Raw genomic sequence first — 15221 nt, 5'->3', positions numbered from 1 at the left:
GTAAGAAGGCTCAACTGCCTGCAGGAAACACCCTGGGCTGAAGACTTTTCACTCACTTGGGTTGCTCCTAAAGTGGTCCAGATTAATGAGGTTTGACTACTCCTTGTCCCTCTGATATAAAACAAGATTGCTGATATAAGACCACAAAGTAGGATGCAGGAAGGTAGACTTAGAAATTGTTTTGTCTAGGGGCTGGGTGCAGTAGCTCATGCCTGTAACCCCAGCACCTTGGGAGGCTGAGGTGGGCGGATCACTTGAGGTCCAGGGGTTCGAGACCCGCCTGGCCAACATGGTGAAACCCTGTCTCTACTAAAAATACAAAAAAAAAAAAAAATAGCTGGCATGGTGGCAGGCACCTGTAATCCCAGCTACTTGGGAAGCTGAGGCAAGAGAATTGTTCAAGCCCAGGAGATGGAGGTTGCAGTGAGCTGCGATCGTGCCACCGCACTCCAGCCTGGGTGGCAGAGCGAGACTCTGTCTCAAAAATAAAAAATAAAAAATAAAGAAATTATTTTGTCTAGAGATGCCAAAAAGTGGCAGGAATGCTACAGTTCTTCTTGCCTCCTCAGCAGACATCAGTAATCCACTGCAGCATACTCTTTCCTGGATATGCCTCGACACACTTCTCAGCATAGTGCCCCTGGCAGCCATGACCAATTGATCCCCTCATGCCATCTGTCTTCCCACCCAAATTGGAAGTGAGGCTGTGGCCACCTGGCAGATGTCAGGGGGGTTGATGGGAAAAGGAATCTAGAATAGTTTTAGATCCCCTAGGCACAGGCGCTGTGTTTGTGTCATATACAATTTTGGCTTACATTACAATCCTGCTATCCACTAAGGTCTGGGTGAGATGGGGTGAGGGAGCCAAAGGCAGGGCACTAAGCAAGCTCATTCTGTAACTCCAGGTCTACCACTCACGTAAGAAATGTAAACCTGACAAGTGTTTCAGGCGAATGCAATTTTTATCTGAAATATGCTCCAAATCCTGGGGTGGGGGGGAGTGCCTTTTGCAAAGTGAATCATCACTATGGGAATCTGGCGACACGCTGTTTGTCTTCCAGCCATGGAGACAGCCAGACCTCACTGGGGAAGGAACAGGGAACTGTGTGGCTTGAGACCACACTACCTAAGCTGGGGTCCTAAATGATTCTCCATCTGTATCAATGGAATATTTCTTTTGTGCTGGTGTTTCTCAGTCTTCACGACTACTTCCCGGAGGGAAGGAGGATAGTAAGGGTGTCCCCATTCACTGGGAAAAAGGGGTGTTCTGAGAGGTCACACCACTCTCCAGGAGGCCCACAGCTAGGAATAAATAGCAGGGCCACCTCCGCTTTCAACCAGGAGGGACCAGAGGGAGCCAGGAGGAAAAACAGTGCCACCTTGACAGCCTTCCACAGCATCTCCAGCTTAGAGGATGTGCTAACCGGTGGGGATTGCTTCCTTGACCCTGCCCTGCAGCTATGCCAGGGCTTCTGACTCCCAGCCCAGTGCTCTGTCCTCCAACCTACACTACTTTTTCCTGTCCCATCATTGGGCCTTAACCTGGGTTCATGTCTCACATCCAGAATAAGAATAAGGATTAATATTTATTGAGCACTTACTATATCCCAGCAGCTTCATGTGAATTAACTCATTAAATTGAACTATCACTATCTCTATCTTAGGAGGAGACTGATGCTTGAGGCCCCACAGCTAGTGGAAGGGCTGGGATGGGAATCCGGCATTCTGACTCCAGGGACCATGCTCTGAACCACAGACATTGCCTCCCTGGGCTGCCTCCTCATCACTATATTTGACAATCATTTACTGAGCACCTACTACGTGCCAGGTTCTATGAATGCAAGCACACAGTACCTGTCCTCAAAGCTCAAGTCCTGCTTAAAGACTTGCCAAGTCGGCCGGGCGTGGTGGCTCACGCCTGTAATCCCAGCACTTTGGAAGGCTGAGGCGGGCGGATCATGAGGTCAGGAGATCGAGACCATCCTGGCTAACATGGTGAAACCCCATCTCTACTAAAAATACAAAAAATTAGCTGGGCGTGGTGGTGGGCACCTGTAGTCCCAGCTACTCGGGAGGCTGAGGCAGGAGAATGGCATGAACCTGGGAGGCGGAACTTGCAGTGAGCAGAGATCGTGCCACTGCACTCCAGCCTGGGCGACAGAGTGAGACTCTGTCTCCAAAAAAAAAAAAAAGACTTGCCAAGTCACAGTTCAGTCCTCTCCTCTCCCTCCTTTCCCCAGCCCCTGACAGCAAACAGGGCTCAGCTGAATATACAGCCTGTGCACAACCACTGTCAAACTCGATTCTCATCCAGGCTGTCAGTTTCTTAAAGAAAAACACCGTCTCTGGCCTCCCACAGAGCCCTGCCCTCAGGGGCCCTTGGTAAATATTTACTGTTGCAGCTGACCCAGACCCCAGGGGAAGAAGACCCAGTTACAAAGCACAAAGGAACCCGTGTGCTCATTATTCAGACCCTCCCAAGCGCAATGGGTGTCCCTCCTGCGTAACTTCCCCATTTGTGTCTGGAGTGCAATTTTTCTCACGCTCAGTGGGCCAGGTTTTGGCCACTGGAGTATGTGATACTGCCCCTGCCCAAGAGCCCACGATTCCAGGTGAAGCTGAAGCCAAGCCACCTGCCTGGACCACACCCGCTTTTGCCTTCTCTGGGGCCCTGGGGAGTGGGGGGGTGGGTGAGTCTTGCCACCTGTTCCCCCATGCCTTTTCCTCTTGTCTATGTGGTCTGGATCTTGGGCCGAGTCCCTTGATGACATGACTAGCCAGTAACTCTTTTGGTGGTTCTGGCATGAGATAGGCTCCCCAGAGCCTCTGAGCAAAACTCTCATTATGCTTTGAGAGTTGCCCCCTGGACCACATACAGCAGGTGTTTGGGCTCATGTCTATGATATGTGCATTGTCTGGCATTAGCTCAGGTACAGCCAGCCAATGGGCAACAACGTAGGAGAGACATGAGGGTCATTTCATCTGGTGGCTTCCAAACAGTTTTACAGGAGAACCTGCACCTAAAACGGAGGCAATGCTGAGCATTTGCAGGCACGAGTTCAAAAGCTTCCTTCATTCAGACTTTCCCTACACTACCTCCCTCCTCCCACTGCCTGTCCCTCACAGCATTCTAGATCACCAGGGAACAGGGTCTGTAAAACATTGCACTCTCCCCTTCGACGTGTCCCACAGACATTTCTCCAACCTCTGCTTGAATTCTGCCAGCAACAGGGAACTCACTCTACTTCCCAAGTTTCCTATTGCACTCTTGCATAGCTCTTCTGTTAGGAATGTTTCCTTAGGTGGAGTCAACAGCTGCCCACCTCTGCCCTGCTCATGACAGTTTTTCAAATGTGCAAAGGTGGCTTTCCTGCCTCACTTTAGCACTGTCTCCTCGGGGCCATGGTTTCCTAAATGGTGTGAGCCAGATAGCTCCCTCTCTGTTCTAAGAATATCTCCCTAGCCCTGGCTAGAGGTTTACTGGAAACACTTCTGAGCACATGCCCTCTGGATGGTGAGTCTGGGCTGCTATCATCAGAGCAGAGGGAGGACAGTCCAGCTACCTGCAGGCTCCAGTGCTCCTGGGGAGGGATTGGCAGGAACCCAGTGGATTCCAAGGGACTCACACCTAGATTCTGGGCCCTGTGCTGTTTCCAGGCACACGTGCATGGAAATACAGTTTCAGAGCTGCCAGAGCTCAGCTGCCCCTGCCCCTCCCATCCCTCTCCTTTCCCTTGTTGAAATCCAGCCTAGGCCCCACACTGCCAAACGCGACGGTACTCACCGGTCCCGTGTTGCTCACATCCTGGGAATCTTTTTATTCCAAAAGCAGTCGGTACATCCAGACCTACAGGGGACAGAAACTCAGTATCAAAAGCAGGGCAGAGCAATTGGGTGTCCATCTCTTTTCTAGCAGGATGGAGTCAATGGGGGACTGGGATGGAGGTGGGGAAGATGAATGAGAAGGAAATGGTGAGGACTGAGCCGCTCATTAAACCAACCTCAAAATCTCTGGGCTTTGTGGCGATTCTGAGAAAGAAAAAAAGAAAAAAAAAAAAAAAGACCCTAGCCCTGGATGAGTCAGCAGCTTGTGGAAAAGCAGGCTTTCTAGAAGAGCGAAATGAAAGGCAAAATCGGCGGATGTAGGGGTGCGGGAGGCCTCTCTTTAACCTCAGTCAGAGTCCCCTTGAGTCTTCCTGGCAGCGGCCCTTCATGGTTGCATTTTGGTGAGGGCGAAGGGGGAAAGCTCTGTGCTCAGGCCTCAAGTCGAAAAGATACTGCAGTCCTTAAAACAAAAGCCCCCAAAGCGTATTTATATCCTGGGAGACTCCTGCCAAGCGAACCCCGTGTGCTTTGAAAATTCCTCGGGAGAGCTGTAGCCGCAAGAAAAAGGCATGTGCCCGGTTCTGAGGATGTGTTCACAGCACGGCAAGTTGGGGCCTGAGCCCTAGAGGTTTAACCACGCAGGGCAGAGGCCACCTGCGGCGCACATGTGCACGGAGCAGCCACCGAGCCAGGGAGCTGCCGCGGAGGGCACACCGTTCTCACTCCCCACGCCCAGCCCGCCTTGAAAGCCAAACTTGTTTTTTCTTGTTTCCCTGAGAATTCTGAGGTGGGCAGAGCTTTCTCTTTTCATCCATTCCTGTTTTCAAAGGAGAACCTTTTGGCTGGGGGAAAGAAAACTTTCAGGTGGCAGATCTGTTGACTGAGTACTTACCACGCGCCAGGCCCCTCGCACACCTGACCTGGGGTATTACTATTCAAGGGTGCAATCGTACCGGCTGGGAGCTTGCTGCACACACAGAGTCCCAGGCCCCACCAAGCCCTACGGTATGGGAGCAGCCTGTATTTTAACAAGACCTTCAGGTGATTCCTGGGCAGGTTAAAAGTTTGCAAAGCGCTGGTGTATCATTCTCTTAATCACGGAAGGAAGGAAGTTGCAGCCCATTCTCCACGTGGGGAAACCGGCTCCAAAAATGACAACTTGCCACCATGGCTGTGGACCTGGTGAGTGGTCGGGCTGATCCAAAGCCACGTTCACGTGGTTCCAAAGCCTGTGTTGCCTTCCACTGCACTATCTGGGGGAAGGTGCAGTCAGACCTGGCTTTGTGGGAGTGGCTGAGGGAGGGGTCCTAGCCACGGGTGGTGGGTGACTGGAGTCCTGGAAGTGAGTGGTGGCCTCGGGTATCGGGCAGAGCACTCCGGGAGGGAGGCACTGAATACTGGCCACAGGCTTCCCTCCTCCTCAGTTTTGTCAAAGGCCAGCAAAATTCCCCAGTTGAAGGTTCTGGGCCTCCTTCCTGAAGGGGAATTCGAGCTTCTGCAGTTAATCCCAGTGATTAATTTATTTTGATTCCAGTAAGTTGAGCGCTTTTGTCCACTGCCCTTTAGAACTAACCATCCGGCGGGAGGAGGCGCCCCAGGAGACAAGCTAACCTGAGCATTCCAGGCACTGACCTGCGAGAAGAACAATACTCTCCAAAGTCCTTCATAGCTTAGAAAGAGCTTTTTATCCACCAGCTAATCAGCTCCTTACTTTTTAAGGGGCATGTCACTAGCTCTATTTTGCAGTTGGGAAAACAGAGAGGTTAATTGACTTTCCTGAGGTCACACAGTTATCACACAGGCTGGGGTGACTATCCTCTGACTCCAAGCCCAGAGGTACAACCAGTATAGTCTAGCTGCTCCTGATGAGGAGGGGGACATCACAGCATAGATTTACGATACTCTAAATTAGCATCTCCCAACTCCATATGCTCTTGCTCCACACTCTGCTTGTAAGGTGAATTTACTAAATAGACTCACAGACCAAGAGGAAAACAGTCCACAACCCATGCAGGGTGCATGACCAGTACTTTTCTCAATGTAAACTAGACAACTGGCATTCTTGACTTATCAGTGAGTCATTATGTTATATCAGACATCATTCGTTCTACTGCACTTGCTTCCATAAGACAGTTCAGCTAAGTTAAGATATACAGTGGAATGATGTCCATAAAATGTGGAAGTAGTATTGGCTCTTAGGCAAATGTTCCCAGCACATTAATGTTTTGCTTCACCAAGTAAAAGCAGCTGGATGCAAAGATCCCTGACACAGCTGAGTGTAGTAAGCCACAGATGACTCCATGCTGTCCATGACACCCGCTCACTCCACGTTCTTCCTCTTGGCTCAGTGTGGCCATGTGCTGTCTTAGAAGAGTTTGTTGCTCACTTCTCCCTGATATTTGTGCAAAGGCCATGTTAGACCACTCCTCTCTGATAGTGCTTTTTTTTTTTTTTTTTTTTTTTGAGACGAAGTCTTGCTCTGTCTCCAGGCTGGAGTGCATGCAGTGGCATGATCTCGGCTCACTGCAACCTCCGCCTCCTGGGTTCAAGCAATTTTCCTGCTTCAGCCTCCCGAGTAGCTGGGACTACAGGCATGCACTGCCATGCCCGGCTAATTTTTGTATTTTTAGTAGAGATCGGGTTTCACCATGTTGACCAGGATGGCCTCGATCTCTGACCTCATGATCCACTTGCCTCAGCCTCCCAAAGTGCTGGGATTACAGGTGTGAGCCACCACGCCCGACCCTCTCTGATATATTTCAGCAAAGCCTGCAACTGCTCTTGTACCTGTAACTTCTGATGAAGATCTGTCCGCTCCTGCCTCCATAACTCGGCTGCCTCAAACTTTCTCTAGCCACTTGCCTTCAAGTTCCCCTTTTGGTTTGTAAAATATAGCCCTATGGTTACTCAGGTCCTAAAGTTACTAATGTATTTTTAATTCAAAATTTAGCATGCCATTTTAACTGTGCTATAATCATCACTAGGATTGTGGTTTGTTAAAGAGTTGCATGAATTGTGAATTGTGTGCTGCAATCTTATTGTCTCCCAAATCTCTGTGATTTTTGAATTTTTCAGAATGCAAGGATTTACAGAAATGCATATATCATTTAATAGCAGAAATGCTTGCATAATGCAAGTTACATTCTAGGTACTGATATGGTTAGGCTTTCTGTCCCCACCCAAATCTCATCTTGAATTGTAATCTCCACAATCCCCATGTGTCAAGGGAGAGACCAGGTGGAGGTAATTGAATCATGAGCGTGGTTTTCCCCATGCTGTTCTCATGATAGTGAGTGAGTTCTCACGAGATCTGATGGTTTTATAAGGAGCTCTTCCCCCTTCGCTCACTGCGTCTCCTTCCTGCTGCCTTGTGAAGAAGGTGCCTTGCTTCCCCTTCCACCATGATTGTAAATTTCCTGAGGCCTCCCCAGCCATGCTGAACTGTGAGTCAATTAAACCTCTTTCCTTTATAAATGACCCAGTCTTAGGCAGTTCTTTATAGCAGTGTGAAAATGGACTGATACAGGTACTAATGTCAATATAGAACTTAAATATACATATAGTTATTAGACATTGAACATGTTAATATTAAATGTTGAGCATATTAAATATCTAACAATAATTCATTGGGTACCCATATATATCTGATTCTGTGCTATGCACCAGATAGACATAAATAAATAAAACCCAGTCCCTACCATTAAGAAACTCATGGCATAAAAAAGGGGAAAGACAAATAATAGACTGAGTGGGAGAAGGTACAATGTATAAAGAAGGGGTGCAAGACAGGGACAGCTAACAGGCTCCTCACCTGTGTCAGGGCAAAGACCACGCTCCCCACCCCATGGCCTCTGTAGCTCTGTGAGGCTGGTGCCTGCTCATCTCTCCCCACTCCCCTCCCCTCCTTCAATCCCCCCACTGTTCCTGGCTCACTGCCTTCTTCTCCTTTCTTGAACCCATCATGCTCCACAGCCACATAGCCACGCTAGTCCCTCTCTCAAATGATCTGCCTCACTCTTACCCTAATTAATGCCGCCTTCCCCTCCAGGATTGAGGGAGGTGATACATATAAAGTGCTTAGAAGAGTGTGAGCAGGTGTTAGCTGTTCTTGTTATTGACAATACCCATTATTATCCTCAACTGACTAGGCAGCAACTGGAGTACACAAGGGCAGAGTGACTTGGCTGGGGCTGCACAGTGAATTATTCTCAGAGCTGGGACTCTCACTTAATCAGTTCTGTTTTCTCCATTTATCCTTGAACCCAGTACTGCACCATCACCCCGCTAGACCCCAGGAGATACTAAGCAGCATGCTGGAAGGAGCGCTAGTCTTGCAGGGCCAAGTCTGGTCCCGTTTCTCTCTCACACGTGTTCTGTGTCCTTATGCCAATCACTTCTCTTCCGGGACCTTGGTTTCCTCCTCAGCTGGGCAGGGCTCTAACCAGAGCTGCCTCCTTGGGTTGTGGAGGGGAATCCAAGGCCACAGTGCATGCCGAGTGGAGCCTTCTGTTCCTGCACGTGGAAGGCAGTGGCTCTCATTAGGAGTTAACCTGAATTGGGCTGGGCGTGGTGGCTCATGCCTGTAATCCCAGCACTTTGGGAGGCCAAGGTGGGCAGATTACCTGAGGTCAGGAGTTTGAGACCAGCCTGGCCAACATGGTGAAATCCTGTCTCTACTAAAAATACAAAAATTAGCTGGGTATAGTGGCACATGCCTGTAATCCCAGCTACTGGGGAGGCTGAGGCAGGAGAATTGCTTGAGCCTGGGAGATGGAGGTTGCAGTGAGCCAAGATCGTGCCACTGCACTCCAGCCTAGCCAACAGAGTGAGATTCTGTCTCAAAAAAAAAAAAAAAAAAAAGAAAGAAAGAAAAAAAAAGGAGTTAACCTGAATCACAGGGCTTTTTAGTGCCCTCTGAGCTCCACAGGCACACACATTTCCAACCTTACTGGCTCAGGACTCCTTTTGCCAGAAATTACTGGTCATATGGAGAAAATCACAATAAGGAAAAATAAGCCAGTGGCATTTTCCCCATGAGTCCCCGCATATTCCCTTTTGGCCTAGTTTAAGCCTGTGCCAGGCACCAGAAGGGGGCGAACCAGGGAAGCAACTTTAAAGGCCTGTAGAAGAGAAATGCCCTCCCCGAGGGTCACTCCCTCTTACGAAGTTTATCCCATTCCACTTCTTATTCAGCAAACATTTAGCAGACGAGTAAGAAGCTCCAGGTCTAGTAAAAAGGCCATGATGTCCTAAGGTGATAGCATCAAACTGAGGGAGAGGCGTGAGTGCAGCCAGGGAGCACACGAGAGAGACAGAGAAGCCAACCCTGGCTGGAGCCAGCCCAGACCAGAAATAAGAGCAAGGTCAAGCTCAAAAAAGGTGGAAAGCTACAAGCGGCTTCCGTGGGGCCCGAGCTCGGCCCTCACTCCACAAGCCAGAAGTGCAGTCTTCAGTGACCTGTCTTTGTTCCAGGCAATATTTCACCTTGGTCCCTAACAGTAGCCTTTCACTCAGAAGGGCAGAAAATGCTGGTCATATGGAATAAAACGCATATGTCATTTGCTCATCTGCAAAATTGCTCACATAACAGCCACCACTTCCGGAGCACATGGCTCTGTTCCAGGAGGCCCTGGGGTGGGTCTTAAGCCTTATCTCCCTTTTTTACAGCAACTGTGAAGTGCAGGCATTCACATACCCATTCTACAGATGGTAAACCTGAACCTGCGAGATTAAAAAAGTTGCCCAGAGTCATAAGAGTAGAAAGTTCAACATGGAGGTTTGAACTCAGGCCTGACTGAATCATCATTCCATTTCTTCCCCACAATGACTCTTCAATGTTGGCTATGTAACTGGAGTTGTGGAAAACTGGGCCATCTCTCCCTCCAGCCACAACCTAACTTCAACTGAGATTCCCCAAGAGTACAGAAGAGCCTGTGTTCCCAGCTGCCCTGGGGTGTGTAGATGCAGCTTGATATCTTGGACATTTACGAGAATACTGAATTCAACTCTAGAATTGACCCATATTTGTTTCAAAATATTTCTCCCTCAAAGTTGTCAAGTACAATTTGACAACTGACACTCTAGGAAGATGTATGTGTCTGGCATTGGGAAGGGCAGCATCTATTTTTTTTTTTTTTTCTGTTTGTGACAGTGTCACTTGCCAAGGGCAGCATCTATTTTGCTCACTGATGTCTCTTCATTCTTTCAACAACTCTTTATGGGGCTTTGACTAGGGGCCAGGCTATGGGGAGATTAGGTGAACCCTGGCCTTAGAGTCAGGCTAGAGTTAAAGACTTCAATGACATTATTGCGCTAACTCAAGCACTGTGCAATGTGGCAAGATTGCACAGAGAGGCATAGGAGGATAAAGCAGATTGCAGCGAGACCTGGAGGACAGGCAGCGCACACCAGGCAGGGAGAGGAAGAAAAGCTGAATGAGCGGCGAAGGGCATGTGTGGGCTGTGGCGGGAGGGGCACGGTGGACCCCAGAGACTGGCAGCTGTCAGGGTGGCTGGAGCCGAGAAGGCCAGAGAAAGAGCAGAGCCAGATCTTCCCAGGGTTTGGAGTCCTTTCAAGAAGTTCTGCCTTTACCTGTGTGTGTTGGGAAGCCACTGAAGAGTTGGATTCTGTGTCTGCGGTTCCTGGAACATGGTGGCCCTCAAAAGTATTTATAAGATGGAAAGATGTGTCCTTTTCACCTCCGGGCCCCTTTCAGATCCCCCAGCAATCTGAGAAGCACCACCAGGCACCCTGCGATCTTTAGAAGGGCCACCATAGGGCGATCTGATTCGTTGAGGGAAACATTCTCCCAGGTACCTGGCCTGTGCTCCTCCTGCCAGGCCTCAGGGAACTCTGGCTCCAACACGGCTGCTGGCAGATGTGAGAGAGATGAATACACCTTTGATTACGGCTCCTGTTTCTGAGAGAAATACACAGCTCCCTTAAGATTGGGAGTCTATGAAAGTGAGCCCTCACAGAAGAGATATGAGTGAACTGGAAAACAGAAGCCCTTTGGGTGGGTGGTGGTTTCCTTCTTTAAAATAAACAACAGTAAGGAGATCAACCTGGGGGAACTGGGTTCTCCATAATCCCTAAAAGGCAAGTGTCAGAAAGTGGCTGAGGACACCGGTCTCCCAGAAAGCTGTGCCTGGTTAGGATCTGCAGACATCATCTTTGACAATGGGTGTGTCTGCCTCCCTCCTTGGTATGGAAACTCCACTCCGAGGAACAATAATTTGAAACCACTTTCTTTAGCATAGGGAGATAGCATATTCTTGGTTAGAGACTGACAGACTCAGTTTAGAATGCAATTTCTACCACACAAGAGCTTTGAGTCCAGAAACAAAATACTTGATCTTCTCTGACCCTCAGTTTTGTCATCCATAAAATGGAATATGATGGAGACTAAATAATATTATAAAAGTGACGTGCTGTGATTTGAACCCAAGCCTGTCTGAATCAAACTGTTTCATTTCCCCCCATATAGCCTCTTGAACTTGGGATATGTTCCCTGCTCATGGGGTACATCTAGGTGCTTAATAGATGCCAGTTCAGCTTCCCTGCTTTTACACATCTCTTATTTCCTGACCTTGTTTAGCAAAAATCTGAGTATTCAAGAGGTATGAGATTAAACTCATGTAATTTGGATCTTCCTGTGTACAACATGGTAGCTGGGAATACAGAAGGAGAAGGCAGCTAGCTGTGTTTTCTCCCAATTCTATCTTGTTTCAAACCCTTTATTAAATGTTTTAAATATTACTTGCCTTCTGGGTCTAAATAAAATTTCCAGAGGTTTCCACTTTATACTCATAAATGATTCTCGCTAAACTTCTTTTTTTAAAGAAAAAAATGTGTGTGTGAGCGCATAAATGTACTGACTCATAGCTGGAAAAACTCTCTCTCCCTAACACATTCCAAATTTGTCAAGTCACATGAATTGAGTAAGAGCACTTAATGTGGCCACGAGCCCCAAACTGGCGCGCAGTTAAGACAGGGATTTGGAAGTCCATCTCTCCCTTCCCTGCCCCCTTGCTCCAAGAAAGAGTGTAGCTAGGGGCACACTCTGACCCGGCCAGTGCCTATGTGAGGCAGTTGCAGAAAATGCAAGGATGGGAAGGGCTTGGCAGCTAGCTAAAGCCAAACTTGAAATGCAAGGTGGTATAATATATTTTCAAAAAATCACATACAAACTTGTATGTAGAATTGCAAAAATGTTACAACTTCACTTATGGAGTCAACTTTATGCTGGCCTCTATTAAACACGTCATTTACATGCATCACCCATTTAATCCAGAGCCACCCAGTTAGCCAAGCACTATGATTATCCCTGTTTTACAAATGAGGAAATGGAGGCAGTAAAGTGTTAAATAACTTGACTAAGGTCCCACAGTGCACAGAGGCCAGAGCTAAGATTCCACCCAGTCTGACCCTGGAATGTATGGATGCTTATATACCTTACTGTTTATTCTGAATGAAGATAACATTTATTCCGGAAATATGTATCCAACACTTAGAATACTGTATCAGGTGTTGAAGCAGAGGCTAGTGGTAGACATCGGAAAATGGAGGCTATTTGGCTACTGCTTTCAATGAGCTTGAAATCATGTAGAGGAGCTATGATGTACACACAAGTATTTAAAAGTAAGTAAAAACGCCCACAGGGGGACTATACAGTGTCATGGGTGGGAGGGCTTATTAAGATGATGTCTCTTATGGGGTGCCTTGGAAGGGCAGCCTGGTTGGAGGTGCCATGGGAGCTGGATTGAAAGATGCATAGGATTCAAACAGGAGGTAGCTAGAGGATGTCTTGCCTGCTTAATGACAGTGAGTTCACTCAGGTGGCCAGTGCCTCGGGACTTGCCATCTTAGTTCTGATTCAAGACTAACTCTTGGCATGGCTGACCTTCATGTCCCACAGGTGAGGAGCACAGTCAGGGTGGAAGGAGGGAAAGAGGCGTCGAGGGACTGGAAGGCTGGGGAGAAGAGGCAGGACATGGGAGCAAGGTGGAGGGCTGCAGATCTGGCCAGAGTGGGAGCTCCAGTCCCACCACCAACTAGGTTGGCTCTGAGCAAGTCCCCTGCTCCTGGGCCTCAGTTTCTCCTATCTACAAGGAGGGAAATAAAGGAAGTGCCTGAATGCTCCCACTGGGTGGAACCCTGGAGCACTCCCAATTTATCCCATCATGTTGTAGATGATGGAACCAAGGGCCAGAAAAGCTGCATTCGTACAAGTCCTTGGATTTGAATCCAAGTGTGGGGTGAGGACTCAGGGTTCCACATCACAGTGCAGACCTTTTCCCCACTCCTCAAGAGGTATGTGGCCCTGCATTGGAAGTCCAGGAGACACCAGGCATGCTGTGAGAGGAGGGGAGACCAAGGGCCACCTAGCACGCCTCAGCTGGTCCAGTAGCCACTCCCAGTCCTCAGGGGCCCGGGAGGCTCGGCCTGACCATGTAGATCACTGACTATGTAGAGAGGTATACCATTCACTGAGGCGCTCTCAGGAGCCTCAGGCTGGTGGCCCGTGGTTCAAATCCATGCCACAAAGACGTTTTGTTGTGCTGGAGTGATGTGTTAAAAAAAGAGTCATCAGATGCCCTTAGGTGGGGCAGACGTTCCCTGTTCCTCACTGTTCAACATTCCAAGGAGTATGGGCTGTGTTAGGTGTCTGTAACTTTGTTGGAGAGTGGTGCAGGTGCCCTGGGAGGGGTGACAGTGGGGTGGGGAAAAGGGCATGGGGAGATAGTGGGTGGGAGGAGGTTGCATGGAGAAGGCGGTGTTTGTCCTCGTCCATGAAGAATGGGTGGAAATTGCCAGCCAGAGAAGGGTGGGAGAGTATGAATTCCAAGGAGGGGAGCGGAGGGGTGAGGTCCAGAGCAAGGGCACGGCTGAAAGGAGCAGCCTGGCTGAGCGTGGCTGAGACGAGGGAAGGTGGAGCCAACTCGAGGGGCAGGGCAGTGGCTGCAGGGGTGCATGCACACCACACTGAGGAATTTGGACATTGTCTTACATGACCGGGAGTTCCAGAAGGTTTTATCCAGGGAGGGGACCCTCTGTGCTAACACATTCAGATGCTGGATTCGCATTTCCTAGCTATGTGATGTCTGCATGTGTTGGCTGGGGCTGTGTGGCCTAAAGCACCTCACCTCATCTGTACAATGGGCATCATAACACTGTGTATCTCAAAGGAGAGTTGTGGGGATCAGAAGGAAATACGATGTGAAAAGCCCCCAGAAAAATTCCTGGCACATAGAATGCTCCCAATCATGGAGAGTATCATGATGATGAGTCTTTATAACTCACCTAGTGATGGCACCAGTGTGGCAGGTAGCTGAGAGTGATCAAAGGCTGTATTTGTTAAAATCAGTAAAGTACAAAAAAACCCTGGGATAGGACCCAGGAAGCACTTGTGGGAGGCAGGAAGAGGTAAATGTGACTGGAAGATCAGTTTTCTCAACCTTTTTCTCCATTTCCTTGTCTATAAAATGGGAATATCCTTGGCTCTGCACACAGGATTTCTGTGTGAATTAAATAAGAGATATGAGGCTGTTTTAAAGTTAGAAACACCAGGTGACCATAAGGGCTTCATTTTCCTTTGCCCACACAGAGTGAATGAGGGGACACATGCACCCGGGGCTCTTATTTTTTACAAACCACCGAGGCAAGAAAAGTAGCAAATGATAGCATGGCAAGATGCAAGCAAGAACCAGACAGAAAGGAAGCCCATAGCTTAGCCCTTCTTTGTAATATTCTCGGCTCTGCCCCGTCTCGTCCCATTCTCTTACTCTCCTTTTGCATTCACGCCCATGACTCAAAACTCCTCCCAGATTCTCGGTCTCAAAAGCATGGATTTTTTCGAGCTGGAAACTATGACAGAGTACATTCCCTGAAATTTACAGATAAAGAAGCTGAGAGTCACAATAGGGAATCAGTTTGGTTAGGAACTGTCCCCAGGAAAGACTGCCTGAGTTCACATCCTGGGCCTGCCGATGATTAGCTGTGTCACTTTGGCTAAGTGATTTAACATCTCTGTGTCTCGGTGACTACTATTACACGGTGTTAGTAAGAGTATTTACTTCCAAGAGTGGTTTGGGGAATTAAATGAGTTAATAAGTGTAAAGCACTTTGAATGTGCCTTGCACCTTCTAGGATTCAGAAATAAGAGTCACTATTATTTAAAGCCGCAAGGTATTTTAGTGATAGAGCTGGGAATAAATGAATCTTGACTCAGATGAATGCTCTCTGCACACCCTCCATACTGAAATATTTGATTCTAATCAGTATGCCATGTTTATTAAAGGCAGAGAAGTAAACTGATTTGTTTTTGGAATAATGGACACATTCACGCACCTGTATGCCCCATTTCTAGAGCATTCCGGGCCATCAAAGTCTGACAG

The 15221-nt window shown here is 48.4% G+C and overlaps 1 protein-coding gene across 26 annotated transcripts in view, besides 6 other annotated features; it reads right to left on the bottom strand.

The window, feature by feature from the left end:
* ZHX2 (zinc fingers and homeoboxes 2) overlaps positions 1 to 15221 on the bottom strand; it is a 194132-nt gene that overhangs the window by 107187 nt on the left and 71724 nt on the right. For 21 of the 26 annotated variants that reach the window (NR_182048.1, NM_001412806.1, NM_001412805.1 and 18 more), the window contains one exon: positions 3785 to 3847. The gene's annotated coding sequence lies outside the window, so the exon portion shown is untranslated. Of the gene's footprint in view, positions 1 to 3784; positions 3929 to 4001; positions 4431 to 4717; positions 5074 to 15221 lie in introns of those variants that run through there. The other 5 variants (NM_001412801.1, NM_001412802.1, NM_001412803.1 and 2 more) reach the window with 5 other exon arrangements.
* Positions 3857 to 5056: an enhancer, noted in NCBI's record as "CDK7 strongly-dependent group 2 enhancer chr8:123874507-123875706 (GRCh37/hg19 assembly coordinates)". NCBI's record gives its function as "activates an origin of replication core promoter dependent on BRD2, BRD4, P300/CBP, MED14 and CDK7 cofactors, with strong dependence on CDK7, by STARR-seq in HCT116 cells {active_cell/tissue: HCT116}" and the evidence as "EXISTENCE:reporter gene assay evidence [ECO:0000049][PMID:35650434]".
* Positions 3857 to 5609: a biological region, named in NCBI's record as "CDK7 strongly-dependent group 2 enhancer GRCh37_chr8:123874507-123875706".
* Positions 4360 to 4984: an enhancer, noted in NCBI's record as "H3K27ac-H3K4me1 hESC enhancer chr8:123874579-123875203 (GRCh37/hg19 assembly coordinates)". NCBI's record gives its function as "activates a minimal SCP1, AML or CMV promoter by ChIP-STARR-seq in naive and primed H9 embryonic stem cells {active_cell/tissue: H9 hESC(naive and primed)}" and the evidence as "EXISTENCE:reporter gene assay evidence [ECO:0000049][PMID:30033119]".
* Positions 4985 to 5609: an enhancer, noted in NCBI's record as "H3K27ac-H3K4me1 hESC enhancer chr8:123873954-123874578 (GRCh37/hg19 assembly coordinates)". NCBI's record gives its function as "activates a minimal SCP1, AML or CMV promoter by ChIP-STARR-seq in naive and primed H9 embryonic stem cells {active_cell/tissue: H9 hESC(naive and primed)}" and the evidence as "EXISTENCE:reporter gene assay evidence [ECO:0000049][PMID:30033119]".
* Positions 5180 to 5377: a silencer, noted in NCBI's record as "fragment chr8:123874186-123874383 (GRCh37/hg19 assembly coordinates)". NCBI's record gives its function as "represses an EF-1alpha promoter that drives an FKBP-Casp9 reporter gene in an ReSE screen in K562 erythroleukemia cells {active_cell/tissue: K562}" and the evidence as "EXISTENCE:reporter gene assay evidence [ECO:0000049][PMID:32094911]".
* Positions 9846 to 10346: an enhancer, noted in NCBI's record as "H3K4me1 hESC enhancer chr8:123869217-123869717 (GRCh37/hg19 assembly coordinates)". NCBI's record gives its function as "activates a minimal SCP1, AML or CMV promoter by ChIP-STARR-seq in primed H9 embryonic stem cells {active_cell/tissue: H9 hESC(primed)}" and the evidence as "EXISTENCE:reporter gene assay evidence [ECO:0000049][PMID:30033119]".

This window comes from Homo sapiens, chromosome 8, assembly GCF_000001405.40.
Source record: "Homo sapiens chromosome 8, GRCh38.p14 Primary Assembly".
In the NCBI taxonomy this organism is placed as follows: domain Eukaryota; kingdom Metazoa; phylum Chordata; class Mammalia; order Primates; family Hominidae; genus Homo; species Homo sapiens.
This window is presented reverse-complemented; position numbering and strand designations above follow the sequence as displayed.